General features: G+C 43.7%; 1 long non-coding RNA gene and 1 pseudogene across 1 annotated transcript, besides 3 other annotated features; one reads left to right on the top strand and one right to left on the bottom strand.

Moving 5' to 3' along the window:
* Positions 15,876 to 16,505: an enhancer, noted in NCBI's record as "H3K27ac hESC enhancer chr2:174165791-174166420 (GRCh37/hg19 assembly coordinates)". NCBI's record gives its function as "activates a minimal SCP1, AML or CMV promoter by ChIP-STARR-seq in primed H9 embryonic stem cells {active_cell/tissue: H9 hESC(primed)}" and the evidence as "EXISTENCE:reporter gene assay evidence [ECO:0000049][PMID:30033119]".
* Positions 15,876 to 17,631: a biological region, named in NCBI's record as "MED14-independent group 3 enhancer GRCh37_chr2:174164665-174165864".
* Positions 16,432 to 17,631: an enhancer, noted in NCBI's record as "MED14-independent group 3 enhancer chr2:174164665-174165864 (GRCh37/hg19 assembly coordinates)". NCBI's record gives its function as "activates an origin of replication core promoter dependent on BRD2, BRD4, P300/CBP and CDK7 cofactors, and independent of MED14, by STARR-seq in HCT116 cells {active_cell/tissue: HCT116}" and the evidence as "EXISTENCE:reporter gene assay evidence [ECO:0000049][PMID:35650434]".
* Positions 19,017 to 19,958, bottom strand: RPS2P18 (ribosomal protein S2 pseudogene 18; annotated as a pseudogene).
* On the top strand, positions 20,684 to 26,252 carry LOC105373743 (uncharacterized). The gene is made up of 4 exons (XR_923585.4): positions 20,684 to 20,796; positions 23,934 to 24,004; positions 24,705 to 24,865; positions 25,596 to 26,252. It is a non-coding gene; the product is annotated as an uncharacterized LOC105373743 (long non-coding RNA).

Below are 26,252 nucleotides of genomic sequence, written 5' to 3'. Positions count from 1 at the left end.
AATATATATAGCGTGGATATGCTGGACAAAAGGATAATTCATTTCTCAGGCAGAATGGAGTGAGATGGTGCAAAATTTCATCATGCCTCTGAGAATAGCATGCAATCTAAAACTTATATTGTTTATTTCTGAAATTTCCCATTTAATATTTCCAATCTTAGTTGACTGCAGGTAGCTGAAACTGTGGAAAGTGGGACTGCAAAGAAGAAGGGACAATTGTAATGGCTGAAATTTTGCCAAATTTAGTGAGAAATATCACTTTACAGATATACAAAGCTCAGCAAACCCAAGCAGAATAAATACAAAGAAAAAGACACTTAATCACAGTATAGTCAAACTACTGAAATCAAAGAGAAAAAGAATTTCTTTCTTTCTTTCTTTCTTTCTTTTTTTTTTTTTTTGAGACAGAGTCTTGCTCTGTCGCTCAGGCTGGAGTGCAGTGGCTCAATCTCAGCTCACTGCAACCTCCGTCTCCTGGAGTCAAGCAATTCTCCTGCCTCAGCCTCCCGAGTAGCTGGGATTTCAGGTGCACACCACCATGCCCAGCTAATTTTTGTATTTTTAGTAGCGACGGGGTTTCACCATGTTGGCCAGGCTAGTCTCAAACTCCTGATCTCAGGTGATCTGCCCGCCTCAGCCTCCCAAAGTGCTGAGATTACAGGTGTGAGCCACTGCACCCAGCTGAGAAAAAGAATTTCTTGAAAGCAGCCAGAGGGAAAGAAAAACACATTACATACAGGGGAACAACATTAAGAAGGACTGCCAGCTTCTCATCTGAAGCAACGGAGGCCAGAGGTGATGAAACAACATCTTTAAAAACGCTAGGGGAAAAAATCTCTGGCAAAAACTCAATATGGAGTGAAGGTATCATCAAAAATGGGGCATAAGGTAAGACGTTTTGAAATATCAGGGTGATAAAACTCATCAACAGTAGACATATAGTACAAAAAAATAAAGAGTTTGGCTGAAAGAAATGACATTATATGAAATTTGGATCTACTGAGCGAAGAAAGAGTATAAGAAATGATAAATGTGCAGATAAATAGAAAGGGCTAACTTTTTTCTTTCATTCTTTCTTTCTTTAGAGACAAAGTCTCACTCTGTCACCCAGGCTGGAGTACAGTGGTGCCATTATAGCTCACTGTAGCCTTGAACTTCTTAGATCAAGTGATTCTCCTGCCTCTGCCTCCCAAATAGCTGGGACTTCTGGCACACACCACCAGGCCTGGCTAATTTTTTTTTATTTTGTAGAGACAGGGTCTGGCTGTGTTGCCCAGGCTGGTCTCAAACTACTGGCCTCAAGTGATCCTCTTTTCTCAGCCTACCGAAGTGCTGGGATTATAGGCATGAGCCACCATACCCTGACTTTTTTTCTTTCTTAATTTCTTTTAGAAAGCAACTGATTGCTGAAAGCAAATAATATTGTATTATGGGATTTTAACATAATATAAAACCTATAAAAAGTATATATGACAACAATAACAAAAATAATGAGGAAAGTAAACAAAATTATACTATTACCAGGTTCTCAATTTTATGTGAAGTGGTACAATATTAACTCAGAATGTACTAATAAATTAAGAATCCATATTGTAATCCCTAAAGCAAGTATGAAAATAATACAAGAGGTATAGTTAAAAAGCCAATCAAGCAACTAAGATTGAGTACTAAAAATATTTGACTTACCAAAAATAAGGATGGGAAGGAGAAACAAAGGAACAAAAAATATTTGAGACAATTGGAAAACAAAGAACAAAATAGTAGAATTTAATTCAACATACTGATAATTATATCAGATGTAAATGTATTAAACACATCAATTAAAAGGCTGTGACTATAGACTGAATCAAAAAGGAAGACCCAGGCCAGGCACAGTGGCTCACGCCTGTAATCCCAGCACTTTCAGCGGCCAAGGCGGCGTGGATCACCTGAGGTCAGGAGTTTGAGACCAGCCTGGTCAACATGGTAAAACCCCGTCTCTACTAAAAATACAAAAATTAGCCAGATGTGGTGGTGTGTGCCTGTAGTCCCAGCTACTCAGGAGGCTGAGTCAGGAGAATTGCTTGAACCCGGGAGGTGGAGGTCACAGTGAGCTGAGATCGTACCACTGCGCTCCAGCCTGGGTGACAGAGTGAGACTCTATCTCAGAAAAAAAGGAAGACCCACTGTGTGCTGTCTAAAAGAGGCCCACTTTAAATGGAAAGGCATAGGTTGAAAATAAAAGGATAAGGAAAGATATACCAGGTAGACAGTAAGTATAAAAAAGTAAGAGAGGCTATATTAATGCCAGACAAATTAAGCTTCAAAACCAGAAAGTATTATCAGAAACAAACAGACACATTTTATAATGATAAAAGGGTTAAGTCACCAGGAAGATCTTTCAGTCCTAAATGGCAATATAGAGAAGCCCTGTCTCTACAAAAAATTTTAAAATTAGCCAAGTGTAGTGGTGCACACCTATAGTTGCAGCTGCTTGGGAGGCTGAGGTAGGAGGATTATATGAACCCAGAATTCAAGGCTGCACTGAGCCATGATCACGCCACTGCACTCCAGCCTGGGCAAGAGAGTGAGACCCTGTCTCAAAAAAAAAGTAAACAAACAAACAGAATTTGAAGAATTTGAAAATCACAATCAAGAAACTTTAATTACTCAATTGATATTTATAACACATTTCACCCAGTAACTATAGAATAGCAAAATATACATTATTTTCAAGTGCAAATGGAACATTCATCTAGATATACCATACCATGTGTTAGGTCAGAAATAAATCTTAATAAATTTCAAAAGAAATTCTAATTGTGCATATTTCTTAACCACAGGGAATTAAGTTAGAAATCAATACTATTAAGATATCTAGAAAAGTCTCAAATATTTGGAAATTAAACAGCACACAATTAAATAATCCATGAGTCATAAATTATAAGGGGAAAAATATTTTGTACTGAATGATGATAAAAGTACATTAGAGCGCCTGGTGCGGTGGTTCATGCCTGTAATCCCAGCACTTTGGGAGGCTGAGGTGGGAGGATAACCTGAGGTCAGGAGTTTGAGACGAGCCTGGCCAACATGGTGAAACCCCATCTCTACTAAAAATACAAAAATTAGCTGGGTGTGGTGGTGGGTGCCTGTAAGTCAAGGAGAATCACTTGAACCAGGGAGGTGGAGGTTGCAGTGAGCCAAGATTGTGCCATTGCACTCCAGCCTGGGAGACAGAGTGAGACTCTGTCTCAAAAAAAAAAAAAAAAAGAAAAGAAAAGAAAGAAAAACAGTACATTAGAAAAGGCAAAATGAAACAATGGTGATAAAAATCAGAATAGTGATTGCCTACAGAATATGGGGATTAAGTGAAAGATGGCACGAGGGATGACATTCTTGAATTAGCAAAGATGTGACTTTAACTGTTTTTGAGGACAGACTGTCTGAACCAAAGGCAGTGATGCCACTGTGTGCTATTAGTGCCATTACTATAATAATAATAATTATCATTTTTTTTTGAGACGAAGTCTCGCTCTTTTCTCCCAGGCTGGAGTGCAATGGCGAATGGCACGATCTCAGCTCACTGCAACCTCCACCCCCCGGGTTCAAGCCATTCTCCTGCCTCAGCCTCCCAAGTAGCTGGGATTACAGGCGCCTGCCACCACATCTGGCTAATTTTTGTGTTTTTAGTAGAGACGGGAGTTCACCATGTTGGCCAGGCTGGTCTCGAACTCCTGACCTCAGGTGATCTGCCCACCTCGGCCTCCCAAAGTGCTGGGATTACAGGCGTGAGCCACCGTGCCCAGCCTATTACTACCATTACATGTCTCCAGCCAAGACTTTTCCTCTGAATGCCAAATTCATATGTTTAATAAGCAACTTGATGTCACTTTGAATGTAACATATCAATAATGGGACTGTTGATTCCCTCCTTACATCTACTTGTCTCCAAATCTTTTCCACTGCAATAAATGGCATTATCATTTACCCAGTTGCTTAAACCAAAAACCTAAGCATTATTCTTAATTTCTCTCTGCTTTTTTTTTTTTTTTTTTTTTTTTGAGATGGAGTCTCACTCTGTCGCCCAGGCTGGAGTGCGGTGGCGCGATCTTGGATTACTGCAAGCTCTGCCTCCCAGGTTCACACCATTCTCCTGCCTCAGCCTCCCGAGTAGGTGGGGCTACAGCTGCCCCACCCCTGGCTAATGTTTTGTATTTTTAGTAAAGACGGGGTTTCACCGTGTTAGCCAGGATGGTCTTGATTTCCTGACCTCGTGATCCACCTGCCTCGGCCTGCCAAAATGCTGAGATTACAGGTGTGAGCCACCGCGCCCGGCCAATTTCTCTCTGTTTCTTATGTTTCACATCTAATCTGTCACCAAATACTGTTGATTCTGCTTCTAAGATACAGTAGTTCCTCCTTATCCTCAGTTTTGCTTTCCACAGTCTTAGTTACCCACAGTTAACCTCAATTTGAAAATATTAAATAGAAAATTCCAGAAAGAAACAGTTTATACGTTTTTTTTGGCCTGGCAATAAATATTTTAATTTTTGTTTCATTTTTATGATGACAAATAATTTTCAAGTTTATTTCCTTGCTTGTTTGTTTAAATACAAAGCTAAACTACAAACAGGTACAATCAAGACATTGTTGTCTCACATTTACACTCCCATCAGATCCTCTTCCAATTCACTGACCACTGACCAGGCTAGTGGGGGGTGGGGAGGAAGGCTTTTTCAGGTAGCACCATCGTGAGGCCTGGGGTGGGGCTGGGGGGAACCAAAAAGGAGGACAGGCTCTCATACCTGTTTCCATTCACATTTACCTGGGACCAGGGTGGGCAGGAGACACCAGGTCATGGCTCCTGAGCCCTGGTCCCTTGGACTGAAGGGACAGTGAGTGAGAATCGTCTAAATCGTGTGCCATTCTGAGTAGCATAAGAAAGTCTTGTGCTGTCTCACTCCATCCCACCCAGCACATGAATCATCCCTGGATGCATATATATTTTGCTATGTATGCTACCCACCTGTGAGCCACTTAGTAGCCATCTCAGTTATCAGATCAATCATCAGGTCAACTGGACGTATTGTAGTGCTTGTGTTCAAGTAACTCTTCTTTACTTAATAATGGCTCCAAAGTGCAAGAGTAGTGGTGCCGGCATATTACTATAATAGTTCTATTTTATTGTTTGTTAATCTTGTTAATCACTTACTATGCCTAGTTTATAATTAAACTTTATTATAGTCATGTCTTTAAAAAAAGCATATATAGAGTTTGATATTATCTGCATTTGCAGGTATCCACTGAGGAACTTGGAATGTATCCCCTGAGGATGAGGAAGGACTATGAATATGGCAAATCCATCTACTTCTTTTCTCTGCTACTATCATTCTAGTGTAAACCACCATTATCACTCTGAGTGCTCCAGTGACTTCATAAGCCAGAGCAGATTTTTAGAAAAGTAACTTGGTTTGTGTCGCGTTCCTGTTCAAAAAGTCCTTTATCAGGTTTCCAGTGCCCCAGGTACTACGTGATCTGGCCTCTGCCCACCTCCCCCATCTCATACCAGTGCGCCACCTGATTAATGTGGTCGGCACAGGAACATCTCAAAACTACCTTGAGGCCTTTGTGCGTGCTATTCTGTCTGCGTGAAATGATCTTTGTGCTCTGATTCTTTCTTAGCATTAAGTCTTTCTAAGTTTAAATGTTACCTCCCTTAGGTCCTATATTATTTTCAGAGTGGTCTCCCCTAAATCCTATTATATTCTACCTCAGTGCTACTGTTTGAATGTGTTCTCCAAAGTTCATGTGTTGGAAACTTAATCCCCAATGCAGTAGTGTTGAGAGGTGGGACCTTTAAGAAGTGATTAGGTCATGAGAGCTCTGCCCTCACACATGGATTAATGGTGATATTGCAGGAGTGGGTTATTTACTGTGGGAGTGGGCTCTGGATAAAAGGATGAGTTTGGTCTCCTTTTATCTCTTGCTCTCTCTTGCTCTCTCTTACTCTGTGATGCCTTTTACCGTGTTATGCAACAAGAATGCTCCCAGCGGATACGGCTCCTTGATCTTGGACTTCCCAGCTTCCAGGACTGTGAGCCAAATAAATTTATGTTCATTATAAATTACCCAGTCTCAGGTATTCTGTTATAACAAAACAAAGTGGGCCAGGTGTGGTGGCTCATGCCTTTAATCCCAGCCCTTTGGGAGGCCAAGCTGAGAGGATCACTTGAGCCCAGGAGTTCAAGACCGGCCTGGGCAATGTAGTGAGACCCTGTCTCTGAAAAAATCCAAACAAAACCAAAACGGACTGAGACACTCTGCGTTTCTATTTATTTTCACCACAGTTCCTTTCAGAATCTGAAATTTTTATAGTTATATGTTTATAACATTTCGCCTACAGTACCCAACACAGAGAGAGAGAGAGAGAGAGACACACACACACACACACCCCTACCTAGAATGTAAACTCCAGAAAAGCAAAGACCCTGTCTGTCTAATTCATAGCTGTCATCTTTGTGTGGTGGCCTGTATATCCTAAATGTTGAATGAGTTCAGTTAAGGAATACCAGGGGATGCCAAGACAGCCAACTGAGAGTTTCCTGGTTGTACTATTTGTAACAATCTCCTTTTCGTTAAAACCTACTAAGTGATCTTTTGATTTAGTAAAAAAAAAAAAAAAAAAAAAAAAATGCTGGGTTTGTTACTCTCGTTTTTGACAGCTATAAAAAGGAGAAATTAATCCACACAATCTCACACATTCTGGGAGGAAAAATAAACTTCTGGACTAGGCCTCTCAAGGCTCTTAGAGACGGAGAGAGAAACAAAGATGGACAAAGAACAAAGGAGATGGACTAAGAAGCTAAATCATCTCCCTGCCTCTTGTCTCACTCCCACCACCACAACCCACCCACCCAACCCAACCTCTCCCTGGCCTTGATTACACACATGTGACTGTATAGTTCCCCTGTTTGCAATTCCTCAATGACTTTTCATCAAATATTGAATACAAACTCATGATTTTCAGCCCAGGCCATTTATTAGTCTTTATTTCTTTGTTCTTGCCAGTGACTCAGCCTGCTTTTCTTTTCTTCTTAAAATTCTACCATCCATAATCCTCTATTGCTTCAATTTCTTTTTTTGCTTTCCCAAGGCTGGCTATGGAATGGGTCACATTTCCCGAGCAACCCATGTAGGGTAGATGTAGGGGATCGAAAAATGCTACTCCCAAATGTGTGACTTTGACATAAAGATTGTTTTGAGCTGGAAACAAATGAGAATCAACAGATATGAAACCGCCATTGCAAAATTGTAGCTGAGGCAATGAAAGAGATCTGACCTAACCAACTCATCTGGCTTCTAACCTCCAAGCTGTCCTTGTTCATTCCTGGGTATAAGCTGAATCAATAATAAGAGAATAAATTAGTTTATGGTTTAAAACAAAGACAATAAAAGCCCTTTCCCAAAACAAACCTCTTTCTTGCCCGGGGACTAGACTGCCTTTGTAGGACTAACAAATTAGCTGCAAGAATAGAAATTATGGTTTAGGAGTCATGCAGCTGGAGGCTACAAGATTCCAATCCTCCCTAAACTGCTTTTAAGATCAGTCCTTGAGATATTTTGCAGACCCTGTACTTGATGGGTCAGCTGGGACCACCCAGATCAATGAACTGGCTCATCTGATCGTGTGGCCCCCACCCAGGAACTGACTCAGCACAAGAGGACAGCTTCAATTCCCTATGATCTTATCTCCTACCTACCTAATCAATCAGCACTCCTGGCTCACTGTCTGCTCCCCCCACCCACCCCCGCACCCCAGCCCACACACACACACCCACCAAATTGTCCTTAAAACTCTGATCCCCAGCCGGGCGCAGTGGCTCGTGACTGTAATCCCAACACTTTGGGAGGCTGAGGCGGGCAGATCACTTGAGGTCAGGAGTTCAAGACCAGCCTGACCAACATGGTGAAATCTCCTCTCTACTAAAAATACAAAAAAATCAGCTGGGAGTGCTGACGCATGCCTGTAATCCCAGCTACTCAGGAGGCTGAGGTTCAAGCAGGAGAATTGCTTGAACCCAGGAGGTGAAGGTTGCAGTAAGCCAGGATTGTGCCACTGCACTCTAGCCTGGGTGACAGAGCAAGAGTCTGTCAAAAAAGAAAAAAAGAAAAAACTTCTGATCCCCAAATACTGGGGAGTCTGATTTGAGTAATAATAAAACTCTGGTCTCCTGAACAGCCAGCTCTGCATGAATTACTCTTTCTCTATCGCAATTCCCCTGTCTTGAGAAATCAGCTCTGTCTAGGCAGCAGGCAAGGTGAACCCACTGGGCGGTTACAAAATGGGAGAGTTCCCTTGTAGCAGGACGAGCCACAAATAAAACTCCTCAGACACCGAGTTAAAGAAGGAAGGGGTTTATTCGGCCGGGGGCATCGGCAAGACTCCTGTCTCAAGAACCGAGCTCCCCGAGTGAGCAATTCCTGCCCCTTTTAAGGTCTCACAACTCTAAGGGGGTGTGGGTGAGAGGGTCGTGATCGATTGAGCAAGCAGGGGGTACGTGACTGGGGGCTGCATGCACCGGTAAGTAGATCGGAACAAAACAGGATAGGGATTTTCACAGAGCTTTTCTATACAATGTCTGGAATCTATAGTTAACATAACCGATTAGGTCAGGGGTCAATCTTAACTACCAGGCCCAGGGTGTGGCGCCGGGCTGTCTGCTTGTGGATTTCATTTCTGCCTTTTAGTTTTTACTTTTTCTTTCTTTGGAGGCAGAAATTGGGCATAAGACAATATGAGGGGTGGTATCCTCCCTTACCCTGATCCCCTCACAGGACTTGTGACAGGGGTGTGGCTTATTTGCTTGGCTGCCACACACACTCAAACCCCTTACAGGATGGGGGGCATGCAGACAGGCAGGTGCAGGAGCCAGGGCAAGCACTTTTGGGCTCCGGCCCCATGGTAGCGTCTAGAGCTATGTTACAATTAATGCTTTTTTAGCAGTTACTATCCACAGATGACTGTTAAACCAGCTCAATGGAGAGTCAGAGTGACAGCCTTTTACATCCTGCCACCTTGGTATCTGGGGCCTTGTCCAGTGTCCAGGAAAAATCAGGTCACTCGGACTTGAAGGATGGTGAATGCAAGGATTTTACTGAGTGATGGAGGTGGCTTTCAGTGGGATGGATGGGGATCTGGAAAGAGAATGGAGTGGGAAGATGATCTTCCCCTGGAGTTCAGCTGTCCCCCCACCAATCTCTTCTCCAACTGTCCCCAGCCAAACTCCTCTTGACATTCAGATGCTCTTTCTCTTCTTCTCTTCTCTGCTACGCTGCTCTGCCACTCTTCTGGTCTTCTGTACCTGCTTGTGGAGCTTGGGATTTATATAAGCACAGGATAGGGGCGTAGTGAGCCATAGTGGTCTTGGAAAAGGCAACCTTTGAACTGAAAAGAGGAATGTCTGTTCCCATTTAGGGCCATGGGTTTCCAGGCTTGAGGGTGGGGCCTTTGCTGGGGAACTGCCCTCTTCTACCCAGTATTTCCCTGCCTCCTGTCCATATCAGTTACGGAGGCTGAAAGAAGCCTTTTGGACCTTTACTTATCTGACCAAAAGCAGACACTTCTGAAAAATGAGGATTTCCATAAATCCCCTCTCCCAGGGAGGTTTTAAGACATTGTGTCACTCACAGACAATTGTTGTCTTGTTTAATATTATTCAGTTTTATGGCCATGAAGACCACAAAGAGTTGATGCTAAAATGGATCTGCAGAAACAAACCTTGCCCCACCAGTTTCCCCCATGTATTTGCCTTCTCGCAATTTGTCACCCCTGGAAACTCCAAGTCCTTTTCTTTTGTCTTGGTACTTCTGTAACCACCCAGTGGGTCCACCTTCCTGCTGCCTGGACAGAGCCAATTTCTCAAGACATGGAAATTGCAATAGAGAAAGAGTAATTCATGCAGAGCTGGCTGTGTGGAAGATCACAGTGTTATTATTACCCAAATCAGTCTCCCCTCACAGGACTTGTGACAGGGGTGTGGCTTATTTGCTTGGCTGCCACACACTCAGCCCCTGGCTAACTCCTCTTCACACAAAGTAGGCTAGAAACAGCAGCCAAAGAGAAACAATAGGTACTTTTGTCTTGAGTGGGTGATTTGCATTTTGACAACTTCCTTCCAAGGAAATGCCTATCTCAAACAGCTTTTGCTTCAAAAAAGAAACGTGTTCTGAGACGGCTTTTTTTTTTAATTGACAGATTGCAGCCTGGCCAACGTAGCGAAGCTCCATCTCTACTAAAAATAAAAAGTTAGCCGGGCGTGGTGGCGCACGCCTATAGTCCCAGCTCTCGGGAGGCTGACGCATGAGAATTGCTTGAACCCGGGAGGTGGAGGTTGCAGGGAGCCAAGATCGTGCCGCTGCACTCCAGCCTGGGCGACAGAGCCAGATCTTGTCTCAAAAAAAAAATTGTAATTGTACTTATTCGTGGGGTAACATTTGAAGTTTTGACACATATATCTGTTGTCTAATGATCAAATCAGGGTATTTAGCTTATCTATCACCTCATGCATTCACATTTCTTTGTGGTGAGAGCACTCAAAAGCCTGAGCATTTTTAAATCACTCTTTTTAGACTTAGGGGATGCTTTCCCAAGCTCCCTTAAAGAGTGTTTTGTCTCCTAGACTGTTCTGGCTCCAGTCACTAAGACTCTTGAAAACAGGGACTGAGTATTCCGATGCCTAGCACAAGAATGATGGAGTGTTGATTCTGAGCACAAACTCTGACCTGAGGTGGCTGCATGGGGCACTGAGAGTGGTTGTGATCCTGGAAGGTGGAAGAGCACAGTAGCCACCTAGCAGCTTCTGCTCGATAGGAATTACTTATGGTCACAAATGTGCATTTGCCTTGTCCTGGTGAGCCTTCATCCTCACTGAGAACCATTTAGGTTTCTTATGTACCATAACAATTCTGCAGACTTTAGGCTTTCCTGCAAGAACTCTTGTTATCCTCCAGGCCTCTAGCAAAATGGCCTTCACTGCAGCTTTCATCACCTGTATCTTTGTAAGGCCCAGCCCCTAATCGAGATGGCCTGGGGAACTCCAGGGTCTCTAGGTGACACCCTTCAGCTCCCCACACCTCACCCACCATGAATGAGAAGACAGGTCATGAATTCTCCTATTGCTTTATGGCTCAGTTCAGTTCATCAGTCTCTCATTTTCAGGCAAAAGCCTTCTGAAGCTCCCACTGCCTCTGCCTTCAATTCCACATCCCTTTGCATTGATCTCATTCATCAACCAGCAGATTACCAGGGATTTGTCATTATCCTCAAGAATTTTAGAGCCCGTGCAAATGACCCATCCAACAGCTTGCCTTCAGACTTCCTTAATGTGATTCTAAAGATTCTAAAGATGGCCAAATTCCTGTCACACCTGAGAACAGCTCCATTTGCCTAATGGTCAACTCTAATGACACCACTCAACGTCAAACTCCTGGCCCTCTGCCTCACTTCCTCGAGGGCTGCTTTACAGTTAAAGAAAACCTACCTCTCTCCAACTACTAGCCCTTTACTCTCTGTGCTGCTGTGCCATTCCCCCACAACCTCTACCCAGGCCTTCTCTGGCAGCTGAGAGCTGTTGGAAAAAAATTACATGACAATGAAGGCTAATATTACACTCAATTTATGATGTCTAATTTAGGCTGGATTCTCAATTCTTCTATTCAGCGCTTTATAGGATTTCAGATCAGTTCTGTCCAAAGACAAAATTACAGCAAGTTTAGTTAAAGATCTAATTGGCTTTTATTTGTGATTCATGAATCAAGGCAGGTTCCATTCTATAAAACAGAATGAGAGCTCCCACTGGGCAATGGCAGAACAGCCAGTTTTGTAAGGTGGGAACAAGGAAGGAAACAGAACAATTAAAAAAAAAAAGCTGATTGGTTAACTTCTGGTTACTTTTTTGTAAAGATTAAGGCAAAGAGGACCTCCTGAATATGCTGATTCAGGTAGGCTGGAATGTCCTGTTTCCAGGGTAAAAAACCGTTTTCGAATCTACCTGCTACCTTGGTTTCAGTCTGATTATGTGACATTTAGCATGAGTGACTCCATTTTGGTGTGGTCTGGTCTGTTGAGGCCTAGTGCAGAAGCCTAGTCCAAAACAATGGGTTCTCATAATTTTTGTGTACCAGTTCCTTCCTTAAATCCTGCTGAGGCTTATCCAAACCATTCACTCCTTTCATCATGTATTTGCCCCCTCCTGCTTCTCTTTTGGCCAGGGATCCCACCTCCTACTCTGATAGGAAATAAAGGTACAATTTCCCACCGAGGTTCCACCTACGAACACCTCTGCAGTTTCATGTATTCTTAACTCCAACCTGTTCCCATGCCTGGTTCCGGGAACAATAGCTTCAGCAAAGGTTTTGGAATTTGTTAATAATGTAAATTATCATTGGACTCACCCCAGACTTCCTCTGGGGATGGACCTGCAGACTGTTCTAAGAAGCCCTCCAGGTGATGCTGGGGCAGCTGTTTGAGACTGGTGTAGACCTCCTCCTCTGAGGACTTCCTTGTTCTTCTTTCGTCTGTCTTCATTTTCTCCCCTGTTTCACATAATATTTCCCCTTCTGGAAAATTTATCCGAAAGAAATAACTGAAAGGAAAATAAATCTTGGGGCCCCAGAACCACTAAGGTAAAGGGAAAAAGTCAAGGTGGGAACTGCTTAGAGCAAACCTGCCTCCCATTCTATTCAAAGTCTTCCCTCTGCTCACTGAGATAGATACATATCTGATTGCCTTCTTTGGAAAGGCTAATCAGAAACTCAAAAGAATGCAACCATTTTTCTCTCACCTACCTGTGACCTGGAAGCCTCCCTCCCTGCTTCAAGTTGTCCTACCTTTCTGGAGAGAACCAATGTACTTCTTACACATATTGAATGATGTCTCGTGTCTCCCTAAAATGTATAAAACCAAGCTGTGGCCTGACCACAGTGGGCACATGTCATCAGTGTCAGGCCTCTGAGCCCAAGCTAAGCCTTCATATCCCCTGTGACCTGCACGTACACATCCAGATGGCTGGTTCCTGCCTTAACTGATGACATTCCACCACAAAAGAAGTGAAAATGGCCTGTTCCTGCCTTAACTGATGACATTGTCTTGTGAAATTCTTTTTCCTGGCTCATCCTGGCTCAAAAAGCTCCCCTACTGAGCACCTTGTGACCCCCACTCCTGCCCGCCAGAGAACAACCCCCCTTTTTCCTTTACCTACCCAAATCCTATAAAACGGCCCCAACCCTATCTCCCTTTGCTGACTCTCTTTTCGGACTCAGCCTGCCTGCACCCAGGTGAAATAAACAGCTTTATTGCTCACACAAAGCCTGTTTGGTGGTCTCTTCACACGGACGCACATGAAAATCAGGTCCTCCTGAGGCTGTGTCACAGGTGCACCTCCTCAACCTTGGCAAAATAAACTTTCTAAATTAACTGAGACCTGTCTCAGATATTCAGGGTTCACATAACCTAAAATGAGGACACAGTTTTCTACTTACACAAAGATGTTTATTACAGTATTATTTATAACTGGGAAAAACTGGAAAGAAGCCCAATGTCCATGAAATTATTAAGAAAGGACAATGATGGCTGGGCATGCACCTGTAGTCCCAGCTACTTGGGAGGCCAGGGCGGGAGGATGGCTTGAGCTCAGGAGTTTAAGGATGCAGTGAGCTATGATCATACCACTGTACTCCGCCTGGGCAACAAGCCAGACCCTGTTCCCCTTCAAAAGAAAAAAAGGACAGTGGACTATAAGTAGCAACTGAAATGATGTTATTAGTGTAAACCAAAAATAAAATTTGAAGGCCCCCCAACCATCTGAATGGACTTCCTCCTCAACCAGGGATCTTGAAATGTAACCTGAGAGACTGTTTCAGGCTATGATGTGAAGTAGGGGATCAAACATGCTTCATTATACCTCTCCAGCATTAAACTCAACACAGACTTTAAGTCTGAAAAGAAACACTTTGCAACCTATTCTCTGAAGCTTGCTAGCTAAAAGCTTCATCTGCATGATAAAACTTTGGTCTCCACAACTGTTTTTTTTTTTTTTTTTTTTGAGATGGAGTCTTGCTCTGTTGCCCAGGCTAGAGTGCAGTGGTGTGATCTCGGCTCACTGCCAGCTCCGCCTCCCGGGTTCACGCCATTCTCCTGCCTCTGCCTCCCGAGTAGCTGGGACTGCAGGCGCCCGCGACCACACCCAGCTAATTTTTTGTATTTTTAGTAGAGACGGGGTTTCACTGTGTTAGCCAGTATGGTCTCGATATCCTGACCTTGTGATCTGCCTGCCTCAGCCTCCCAAAGTGCTGGGATTACAGGCATGAGCCACCGCACCTGGCCTTTTTTTTTTTTTTTTTTTTTTTGAGACAGAGTCTCACTCTGTTGCCCAGGCTGGAGTGCAGTGGTGCAATCTCGGCTCACTGCAACCTCTGCCTCCTGGGTTCAAGCAATTCTCCTGCCTCAGCCTCCCAAGTAGCTGGGATTACAGGCATGCACCACCACGCCTGGCTAATTTTTGTACTTTTAGTAGAGACGGAGTTTCACCATGTTGGCCAGCCTGATCTCGAACTCCTGACCTTGGGTGATCTGCCTGCCTTGGCTTCCCAAAATGCTGGGATTACAGGCGTGAGCCACCGTGCCCAGCCTCCACATCTTATCACAACCCAGACATTCCTTTCTATTGATTCCAGGTCTTGAGACAAACTCAATTGTCAATCAGAAAATGTTTAAATTTACCTATAACCTGGAAGCCCTCCACCCTGCTTTGAATTGTCCCACCTTTCTGAACCAAACCAATGTATTTCTTAAATGTATTTGATTGATGCCTCATGCCTCCCTAAAATGTATAAAACCAAGCTGTACACTGACCTTAGGCACATGTTCTCAGGACCTCCTGGGGGCTGTGTTATGGGCCATGGTCACTCATATTTGGCTTAGAATAAATCTCTTCAAATATTTTACAGAGTTTGACTCTTTTGGTCAACATTACATTTTTAATCACACAGGGAAATGATTATACTACAATACTAAATAAAAAATTTTTAAAGGAAATATAAAATTGTACATAAAGGCTGCTTTAAGGCCGGGCACAGTGGCTCACACTTGTAATCCCAGAACTTTGGGAGGCCAAGGCAGGTGGATCACAAGGTCAAGAGATCGAGACTATCCTGGCCAACATGGTGAAACCTCGTCTCTACCAAAAATACAAAAATTAGCTGGGTGTGGTGGCACATGCCTGTAGTCCCAGTTACTCGGGAGGCTGAGGCAGGAGAATCACTTGAACCTGGGAGGTGGAGGTTGCAGTGAGCCGAGATTGCACCACTGCACTTCAGCCTGGTGACAGAATGAGACTCCATCTCAAAAAAAGAGGCTGGTTTAAAATGTTGGTTTTAATACCAGTAGTTAGCTATGTTCCATCTCAAACCCCTCTAAAACCACAGTAACAGGAGTTTCCCTTGTTATTTTTTAATTTCTTAATTTTTGATAGCCATAGGGGTGTTGCTATGTTTTACAGGCTGGTATCAAACTCCAGGCCTCAAGTGATTCTCCAGCCTCGGCCTCCCAGAGTACTGGGATTACAGGCAGGAACCACTGCATCCAGCCTATTTGTTTCTAAAGTAGAAAAGCACAAGAGTGATGAGGGTAGGAGAGGAGACAATAATGAGAGGTGAAGCCAGCTGGACTTTCTGGGATGAGTGGGGACTTGGAGAACTTTTCTGTCTAGCTAAAGGATTGTAAATGCACCAATCAGCACTCTGTAAAAATGCACCAATCAGCACTCTGTGTCCAGTTAAAGGATTGTAAATGCACCACTCAGCGCTCTGTGTCTAGCTAAAGGATTGTAAACTCACCAATCAGCACCAATCACTCTGTAAAATGGACCAATCAGCACTCTGTAAAATGGACCAATCAGCAGGATGTGGGCAGAGCCAAATAAGGGAATAAAAGCTGGCCACTACAGCCAGCAGCGGCAACCCACTCGGGTCCCCTTCCACGCTGTGGGAGCTTTGTTCTTTTGCTCTTCACAATAAATCTTGCTGCTGCTCACTCTTTGGGTCCACACTGCCTTTATCAGCTGTAACACTCACCGTGAGGGTCCGTGGCTTCATTCCTCAAGTCAGCGAGATCACAAACCCACCAGAAGGAACAAATAACTCCAGACACACCACCTTTAAGAGCTGTAACACTCACTGCGAAGGTCTGCAGCTTCACTCCTGAAGTCAGCGAGACCACGAACCTACTGGAAGGAAGAAACTCCGGACACATCCGAACATCTGAAGGAACAAATTACAGACAAACCATCTTTAAGAGCTGTAACACTCACCATGAAGGTCCACGGCTTCATCCCTGAAGTCAGCAAGACCAAGAACCCACCAGAAGGACTAAATTCCGGACACAATAACACCAGCATTTTAGGAGCTGGAAGATGGTGGAATGGCAAGCAACTTCAGATGAATTCCCTAGCCAGCAGTGAGGAAACATTCACTAACAGAGCAGAATCCCCCCTGCAGGAATTCACAACATTGTGTATCTTTCCGAGTAGTGGCACAGGTGAGTTACAAAGAGAAGGAATGTTTGAAATTAGGTTTGTTTTTTTTGAGACAGGGTCATGCTCTGTCGCCCAGGCTGGAGTGCAGTGGTGCGATCTTGGCTCATTGCAGCCTCTGCCTCCGGGGCTCAAGCAATCCTCCCATCTCAGCCTCCTGAGATGCATGCCACCATATTTATGCATAAAATATTGTATATTTTATAGAGAGGGAACTTCACCACATTGTTCAGGCTAGTGAGAGAGTAGAAAGGAAGAAACTGGTCAGGCAGTTAGGGTGGGTCCTCAGTTGAATTCTTTAAACAAAAGAACAGCCTGCAGGTACAGATAAGGGAACTTGCATAGAGGGGCTTGCCTAAGACATGCCCACAGCTGAACAGATAAGAAAGGCTACGCAGGTGACTTTCCCAGCCATGCCTGCAATGGAAAATTCCATCCCCTGACTCATGCACAGTAAGGGGAACAAAGCAATATGGAATAGCTCAAGGTAAGAGCCCCCATGCACACTAGGAGGATGGGGTGGAGCTAGCATAAATTTGCATCTTATGCAAATGAGACACCTAGTCCTCTTCAGTTTCTTATAAAAGCCTTTGCATTTAACTGTAAAAATGGCAACCCTCTTCCAGGCTCCCTCTCCACAGCAGAGAGCTTTCTTCTTTCACTTATTAAACTTTCGCTCCAACTTCACCGTTTGTGTCCAGGCTCCTTAATTTTCCTGGTTGTGAAACAAAGAAATGCAGGTGATACCCGGCAATGAGAAACTGCTACATTGCAGTGCATTGGCAAAACAGTAACATTGTGGTGCATTGGCAAAACTGTAACATTTTAGTGCATTGGCAGGGAAAGGAAACATTGGAAAGTTGAGTAGGAGGGACCTCCGATTCTTCATTTTTGTTTGGGGGCTTCTTGCCCTCAGTTTTTTTAATTAAACAAAACACTGCGCCCTTCAGCCAGTTAAAAGCTTCTAGAGTGGCTGCCATCCTTACAAGACTCAGGGGACAGGCTTGCTGGAGAGGACTTTCTCAATCCCCTATCGCCCTCACATGGTGGGAATGTTGGCTCTGTTCCAATCCAGTTTCCTTTGGAAGGAGGTCCTGGGGCAACTGAAGGCATCTGGCCAAGGCTATATAGGTCCCTGGACAAGCTCTGGCCCCTGGACTACCTCTGGCCCCCAACAGCCCATCAGGGCGTCGGCATCAGGACTTCCAGACTTTTCTATTGAATTTATTTCTTCTCTTTTCACAGCTATCATATCTCCTATCCCTTCTTTATGTACTACGTTGAAGGATTTTTTACAGCCTGGGAGGTAATCTTGTTGGGTACAGTTAGCAGGTGCCTTGGTAACCAAGAATGTAAATTTTAAAAAATTGCTGCTTCTGTGATTTCCTTGAGATGGGGGGATTTCAAGATTTCAGTCTAAACTTTCACCTAGTAAGGGCCTTCTTGTCCCCCAGTGATAGGCGTTCCTGGCACTGTATGTGCGGATATTTCACCCCGAGTGAATACCCTCTGCTCCATTTTTTTTTTCCTCATGTAAGAGCTCAGCATTCCCCAGTGAATTTAAGCAGTTCCTCTATGACAAGTTAATTTTTTCCTGCTAGTAGGCATGTTGTGGGGACATCCTATTAAGCCCCAACTTCTCTTTCTAACATCTGCTTGGAAAGAATTTGGAATCAGAGTTTTTTCCTGACATTTTAAGCACTCCAGTGCTACCTAGTGGGGTGGGAATCTTCTCCATGGGGAGCCTTGTCAGTCCTTCCAGAACCTCTAGTTCCCTGATTCCTTTCCCTCTTACGTCCCTCTCTCAGTGATCAGGCCCCATGCCCTATTTGTAAGCAGAAAATCTCCCCTTTCAGCAGCTGGGAGGAAGCCATCCTGGCAAGACAGATTTTTGCCTCAGTGCTATCCCTATCAGAGGGAGGACAGCCATTCAATTCTTACATTATTTTGAGACATCTGTTGTGCATTCAGCTACATTGGCATCTAAGTGAGAAACGGATCTTATGTTTAGAAGTCAATTGGTCCCATTCTCTAGGAATTCATAACTTTGCCCGGGCAGTAGTAACAGAATGTATGGATAGAGTTAAGACACTCCCTCCATTAAAGGGTCTTGCCCAAATTCAACTATTGTGCAATCTCTTCTGGGCCCCTGGGGTACCCTGGGAGCCTTATGGGTCATGTGGGTCTGGGAAACCAGCAGGGTGGAGAGCTAGGGCCTCATACAGGTAAACATGACTACTCTTGCCGACTAGCTCCTCTAGATCCATGGGCGAAGGTTATGCTTGCATCCATGGGTGGCATCTATGATGGTTGCTGGGACCCTGAGGAGATGGGATGAAAGAGGAGAAGTGGGGCACTCTTTCTATCTTTCTCTCCACTCTGGGTCACTCTGAAAGGAGGAGGAAGACTAACGGACACCTTCTCCTCCCCTCTTTTCTTTTTTTCTTTCAGGCTCAATTCACTTTATTTTTCTTGTATAAAAACCCTATGTTGTAGCCATAGCTGGAGCCTGAGTCCTCTGCATGGAGACTCTGGTGTGGGTCTTGATGGAGTGGTCAGTGAATTCCTGATAGGGAGACTTGGTTAATACAGTCTCCTTCCAGGGTCGGGGGTCAGGTAGCTGTAGGTCTTAGAGATGGCATCAAAGGTGGCCTTGGCAAAGTTGCCCAGGGTGGCAGTGCAGCCCCTGGCTGAGGTGTAGCAGTCATTGATACCAGTCATCATGAGTAGCTTCTTGGGCACAGGGGCCAAGACAATGCCAGTGCCCCTGGGCACAGAAATGAGGCACACCAGCACAGAGCCACAGCAGCCTGCCACCTTGCAAGGGATGGTGTGGGGCTTGCTGATTTTGTTCCCCCAGTAGCCTCTGCACGCAGGGACAATGGAGAGCTTGGCCAGGATGATAGCCCCACAGATGGCAGTGGCCACCTCCTTGGAGCACTTAATACCCAGACTGATGTGGCCATTGTAGTCCCCAGTGGCAACAAATGCCTTGAACCTGGTACACTGGCTGGTATGGGTCTGCTTCTGCACCAGCATAATTTTCAAAACCTCGTCCTTGAGAGAGGACGAGGTTTTGAAAAAGTCAAATGATCTCAGATTCCTTGATGGGCAGGGAGAAGAGATAGATCTCCTCCAGGGACTTGATCTTGATGTCCTTGACCAGGTGGCCCAGCTTGGTGACGGTCATCCACTCCTTATACTCGGCCTTGCCTCCACGAACTCCACGGCCTTGGCCCTGGCCCTGTCCACAGCCACAACCCTGGTGCCGGATGCCACTACCAAAGCCTCTGTGGAAGCCACCACGGTTCCCCATCCTAGGCCCCCGGGGCCTCCGGCCCCCTACTCCTGCACCAGCATCATCTGCCATTTGGTGTTTTCTTGGAGAAGTTCCTTCTCTCTTTTCTAGATGGGCAACAACCCATCTTCAAGCCTGCACTCCCCTTGAGCATAGCCTGGATGTAACCTGGTGTAACCTCAGATCCTGAAGTTCGCTTTGGGCAAGCCCTAACTCATATATAGAGATCTTCCAACTATTTAACCCAACTATTTAAACTCTCCTGGAAGGACGTTATGTTACTCTTAAATCAAACTCTAACTGCTGCTGAGAAACACGCAGCCCTACAGGTAGCAGAGAAATTTGGAGATGAATAACATATTTCCTCTAGCCATTCAAGAAAGAAAGCCAGTCAAAAGGGGAAAGAGAGTGAGAAAGACGCAAAATCCCCATTCTCAGTAGGAAGAGAGGCAGTGCCCCTTGAAACCTCTAATTGGAACACTAGTGATCCCATAGATGAGTGGAAAAGAAAACACTTTCAGATGCGTATATTAGAGGGCTTACAGAGGACCAGAGCCAAACCCCTCAACTACTCTAAGCTATCTATGATAGATCAAAAGCTAGATGAAAATCCCTCAGCATTTTTAGAAAGGCTGAGAGAAGCCTTGGTAAAACACACCTATCTCCTAATTCAATTGAGGGACAGCAAATCTTGAAAGACAGATTTACTCAGGTGGCCCCTGGTATCAGAAGGAAGCTGCAGAAACAGGCTATCGGATCACATAGCACCACAGAAAACCTCCTAAGAGTACCCACCTTGGTCTTTTATAATAGGGACCAAGAGGAGGCCCAGGAAAAGGAGAGGAAACACAAGAAAAAGGCAGAGAGAGGGATACCTTGAAATGGAATGCAGGCCTGGGACTCCATAAGCCTGCTGTTCCAGCCAGCCTGGTAAGTTGGTCAGTAACAAATTTTGCTGCAGGCCTCCATCTTGTTTTATGTCCTTGGGACCGTGACCTTGCGATGTGGTGGTACTTTGTTTTGGCCTCTGCTATTTTACAATGGTGGCCTGAGTTCAATCCTGACTTGAGGAATGAGCACTTTTGGGTTAATATCTGTGTGACTTTTGCCATTTCCTGATTCTCTTCTCCTCTATGAACAACATTTACCTTTTTTCTTAAATCTTCATTTCCCTGAGTTATCTTTAAAGGTTCTATATTTTGTAAGAACTGCTTACCCCACTTTGAAAACACCTCATACACTTGTGGTTAAATCATAATCTTTATTGAGGCTTGTGGTTTTCACCTGTGAGGTTACTTCTGGTAAAGCTCAAAAGCCAGAAATACTAACCACTTGGTGTGGCTAAAGTTGGATAACAAGGGATTTAAAAGGATTTTCTTAAAGCGTGCTCAGTTTAATTAAAAGTGGATATCTAAGTTACACGTATATTTAAAAGGCCTTTGTTTTTCTCTTCTTGGATCTTGTTTTTCTGGAAAAGGGTTTTTTTCAGTCACCTGAATTCTTTTTCTCCATTTTGTCTTGCCACTGTTTTTTTTTGTTTGTTTGTTTGTTTTGTTTGTTTGTCTTTTGAGATACAGTCTCACTCTGTCACCTAGGCTGCAGTGCAGTAGCATGATCTCAGCTCACTGCAACCTCCGCTTCCCTGGTTCAAGCAATTCTCCTGCCTCAGCCTCCTGAGTAGCTGGGATTACAGGCACTCACCACCACACCCAGCTGATTTTTGTATTTTTAGTAGAGATGAGGTTTTACCATGTTGGCCAGGCTGGTCTTGAACCCCTGACCTCAGGTGATCTGCCCACCTCGGCCTCCCAAGGTGCTGGTATTACAGGCATGAGCCACTGCAACCAGCTTCTTACCACTCTTAATGCACACCTCAGAGGCCCCAAGATAACTTCTGGTGGCCTGGGACTCCTTGGGAAAAACAGAAAAGGTGCCATAGATTCCATTTTGGGAGAAACCTTTGTTTTCCTCCTGGAGCCCCAGGAATTAGAGGCAAATAGATCCCTCTCAAAATCTGTTTCTGTCCTCCAGCTATGCCTGTTTATTAGGCCCTAAAAACTGCATGTTTTCCTAGCCCTGCTCTTAAAGGGGGCCACCTGGAGGCCGATAATCCAATTTAAAAATTGGCAAATGAATATCTTATAACTACTAGATCTGCTTGTGTTTTTTGGTGTAGTTATATATGTGTTGCATGTGATGTCTACAAAAAGAGCTGTAATTAATTGGCTTAAAGAAAAATAAGTGCTTAGTTCAAATTTTTTTTTAAATAAAAAGTAAAAGCTGTAATGCTTCTTGGTTCACAGAACTTTAATCTTTGAGAAACAAAAACAGTCTTAAGGATTATTGGCAAAATACAAATGTGTTCAAAATGTAAATAGATGGTCTAAATTATGCAAGTCAGATACTAGGTTCAGATTCTATCTGTGCCTAGTACATCACTAAAATAATTTACCAGGTTTCACATTAAAATTTAAAATTGCTAAGAGTTACCATTATAACGTGTAATTGAGACTACTGAAAATAGATTTACATGCAAGATGTGTAAAAATAGTAAAATGTGTTTTTAGTAAAAGATTATAAGAAGGCATGGAAATATATATTTGCCTAGGGTTAAGGGATTGTTTTGAATCAGATAATATAAAGCTGAAGGTTTAAACAAGTTGTGGAGATACTGTAGAAATTCTATGTGGACATCAGCTAAAGTTAAAAGGGTATTATTAAATTTTTGTGTAAATTAAGCATTGAAATAAAAGCCCAACAAGGTTTTCTTTTTTTCTTTTCTTTTTTCTTTTTTTTTTTTTTTTGAGACGGAGTCTCGCTTTGTCACCCAGGCTGGAGTGCAGTGGCGCGATTTCGGCTCACTGCAAGATCCGCCTCCTGGTTCACGCCATTCTCCTGCCTCAGCCTCCCAAGTAGCTGGGACTATAGGCGGCCGCCACCAGGCCTGGCTAATTTTTTGTATTTTTAGTAGAGACAGGGTTTCACCATGTTAGCCAGGATGGTCTCAATCTCCTGACCTCGTGATCCACCTGCCTCGGCCTCCGAAAGTGCTGGGATTACAGGTGTGAGCCACTGTGCCCAGCCTTCTTTTTTCTTTTTGAGATGGAGTCTCACTCTTTTGCCCAGGCTGGAGTGCAGTGGCACAATCTTGGCACACTGGAACCTCTGCCTCCCAGGTTCAAGCGATTCTCTTGCCTCAGCCTCCTGAGTAGCTAGGACTACAGGCGCCCGCCACCATGCTCAGCTATTTTTTTTGTATTTTTAGTAGAGACAGGGTTTCACCATGTTGGCCAGGATGGTCTTGATCTCTTGACCTCATGATCCACCTGACTTGGCCTCCTAAAGTGCTGGGGTTACAGGCCTGAGCCACCATGCCAGGCCAAGGTTTTTTTAAGAAGCTAATCTGCTCTGGGCTGGGTGCAGTGGCTCACGCCTGTAATCCCAGCATTTTGGGAGGCTGAGGCGGGTGGATCACGAGATCAGGAGTTCGAGATCATCCTGGCTAACCTGGTGAAACCCTATCTCTACTAAAAACACAAAAAATTAACCAGGCGAGGTGGTGGGCCCCTGTAGTCCCAGCTACTCGGGAGGCTGAGGCAGGAGAGCGGTGTGAACCCGGAAGGTGGAGCTTGCAGTGAGCTGAGATCTCGCCACTGCACTCCAGCCTGGGTGACAGAGCAAGACTCCATCTCAGAAAAAAAAAAAGAAGATAATCTGCTCTTTAGCAAAGTTTGTAAAGGGTTATAAAAAGTTTATAAGAGTCTCACCTCATGGTTAAACTGATTAAGATTAGATGAACTTGTCTGTAAGTTTTCATTTAAAAAATGGGGTTAACATTAATAAACTAATGCAAGGGTGAAATTTGGCTTTGAACAGGATTTTCATGTAATAGTAAAGGCTAGTGAAACGTTTTTGCCTTTTAAAATTTTTGAGTCATTATTTTGGCAAATAAATAACTTATAGTAATCTGGAATTCTATTTCATAACATCAAGTGTTTTAAATCTCTAACCTATTTAAGAGGCTTCTCAAAATCAGTTTTGGGAATTTTGTCAATTTTGAATTTCAGTTTCAGAATTGTCTTTCCTGACGCCTAGCTTTTGGATGCTACAGAGGGCCCCTGAAGCATCCAGAAGAGAGGTAAGCAGGGTTATCTAACATGTTTAGGTATGTGGGGTTTCCAAAATGATGTTTAATCTTCTTCAGGTTATATTTTAGTGAATAATATTAATATACACTCAAAAATTGTACAGGATTTCAAAAATTCTAATGTCTGAGTGTATACCATCAATCATAATTAAGATTTTTATGTTAAGTTATTGTAAACCACAGAAATAACCAAATTTCTTTGTCAATTGTGTTCTTGACTGTAACTACCCTGGACATTTCATCATTCACAGATAATTGTTATCTTACTTTAATCCTCTTCAAAGATTGGTTCATAATCAGCTATAGGACTTTGACAGGTGCCCTCAAATGCAAGTTTCTAATCAGTTTGTAGATTATGACATTGGAATAAAGGAAAAGTGCTCAGGACCCATGAAGAGCTGAAATGTTCATGAATATCGAGCAAAACAACAGTTAAAAAAACGGGCTTTTTAAAGTTTTTGCTCAAAATGTTGCTGATCCTTGTTTTTTTTTTCAGAATCAAGGAAACTTATCTTAAGCTATTTACAGCCTTTCGTAATTACATAAGGCATACTCCTGTAAACAAAATTTGGAGCATGCTTGCTTCTTTCTGCCTGGCTTCTCCAGAATTTGGAAGCTGGGAGTATTCTTAACTTATGGCAGTATAGTTGTTTGCCTCTGTGCAATAACGATCTATTTTCTTTTACAACAGGACACAATTGCAGAAACTAGTTGTTTTACTAAGGCTTTGACTGGAAGGATATGCTTCCCTTTGAGGAATCAAGCTTGGCGTACAGAGCCAATAAAAGCCCCTTGGGGAAACTGGCTTCATACCTTGTCTATACAGTCCCTGTACAGGGTTCCTAACCTGTGGTGAGTAAAGAATGTCACTGTCTAACAGGCCCAGGAACCCCATATTCTTGGGACCTTAAGAAGAGAAGAATTCACCTAACTCATAGGTATTTGAGGGTACAAACGCATGGCTAGGCTTGGTGTTAAAAGGTCCTGTCTGAAGTTCCACAAGCCTCATCAAAGCCAATTTAAAAAGCCTATGTAAAAATAATTATTCTTATTGCACCTTATGTAAATAATCAGACCAAGTATAAAAGTAAAGTTTCTATCATGATTTGTTTTTAACAAAAATGAGGACTGGAAAGAGAAAAATTATGTTTCAAAACTTCTTACATGTTTGTCATTAAATTCTAATTTCATTAGTTGCTTTGAAGTTCTTGCCTACATTTTAGACTAAGCCTGCTTATTCATGTAAACCAACCAGCATCTCAGAAGAAACAAAAAGGGATGGTTAATGTAAAAATCTGGATCGATATTTTAGTTCTGGTTAATTATCGTGCAAATCCTGCATGGTGATGGGAGTAAATAGGGTGTCCATTACTCAGAGATTTCTTTGTTTGGGAAAATAAAACTAAGGAAGTTAACCAAAGCCGAGCCCCATTCACCTAAATCTTAGAAGCATAACTATAGCCACTACTTATCTGGGCGTGTTGGCAGCCTTGGGATTTTTAAGCTGTTCTTACCTCGCCCCCACTTGTTTCATTTTAATACATGTCCTGTAATAACCTAAATTGTTTCTTCTTACCTAAAGGCTATCAAGCTCCAAATGGTAATGCAAATGAAATCACACATGGACACGCCTTTCTTCCAAGGACTCTCAGACCAGCCCTAGGAGGAATCGTAGCTGCTGTTCCCCACACAAAGCTACTCTGTAGCAGCAAGTAGCCGCAAGGCTCATCGCCCCATCTCCCTAACAGCACTTAGGGTCTCCACTCCTGAGGCGGGGGGGGGGGAAATGAAAGAGTAGAAAGGAAGAAACTGATTAGGCAGGCAGTTAGCTGGGTCCTCAGTTGAATTATTTCAAACAGAAGAACAACCTGCAAGCACAGATAAGGGAACCTGCATAGGAGGGCTTGCCTAAGATATGCCCACAGCCACACAGATAAGAAAGCCTACACAGGTGACTTGCCTGGACACGCCTGCAATGGAAAATTCTGTCCCCTGACACATGCACGGTAAGGGGAACAAAGCAATATGGAGTGACTCAAGCTAAGGACCTACATGCGCACTAGGAGGATAGGGTGGAGCTAGCAGAAGTTTGTGCCTTATGCAAATGAGATGCCAAGGCCTCATCAGTTTCTTATAAAAGCCTTTACATTCAACTGTTAAAATGGCTATCCTCTTCTGGACCCCCCTCCATGGCAGAGAGCTTTCTTTTTTTGCTTATTAAACGTTCACTCCAACCTCA

The sequence above is a fragment of the Homo sapiens genome, chromosome 2 (genome assembly GCF_000001405.40).
Source record: "Homo sapiens chromosome 2, GRCh38.p14 Primary Assembly".
Classification (NCBI taxonomy): domain Eukaryota; kingdom Metazoa; phylum Chordata; class Mammalia; order Primates; family Hominidae; genus Homo; species Homo sapiens.
This window is presented reverse-complemented; position numbering and strand designations above follow the sequence as displayed.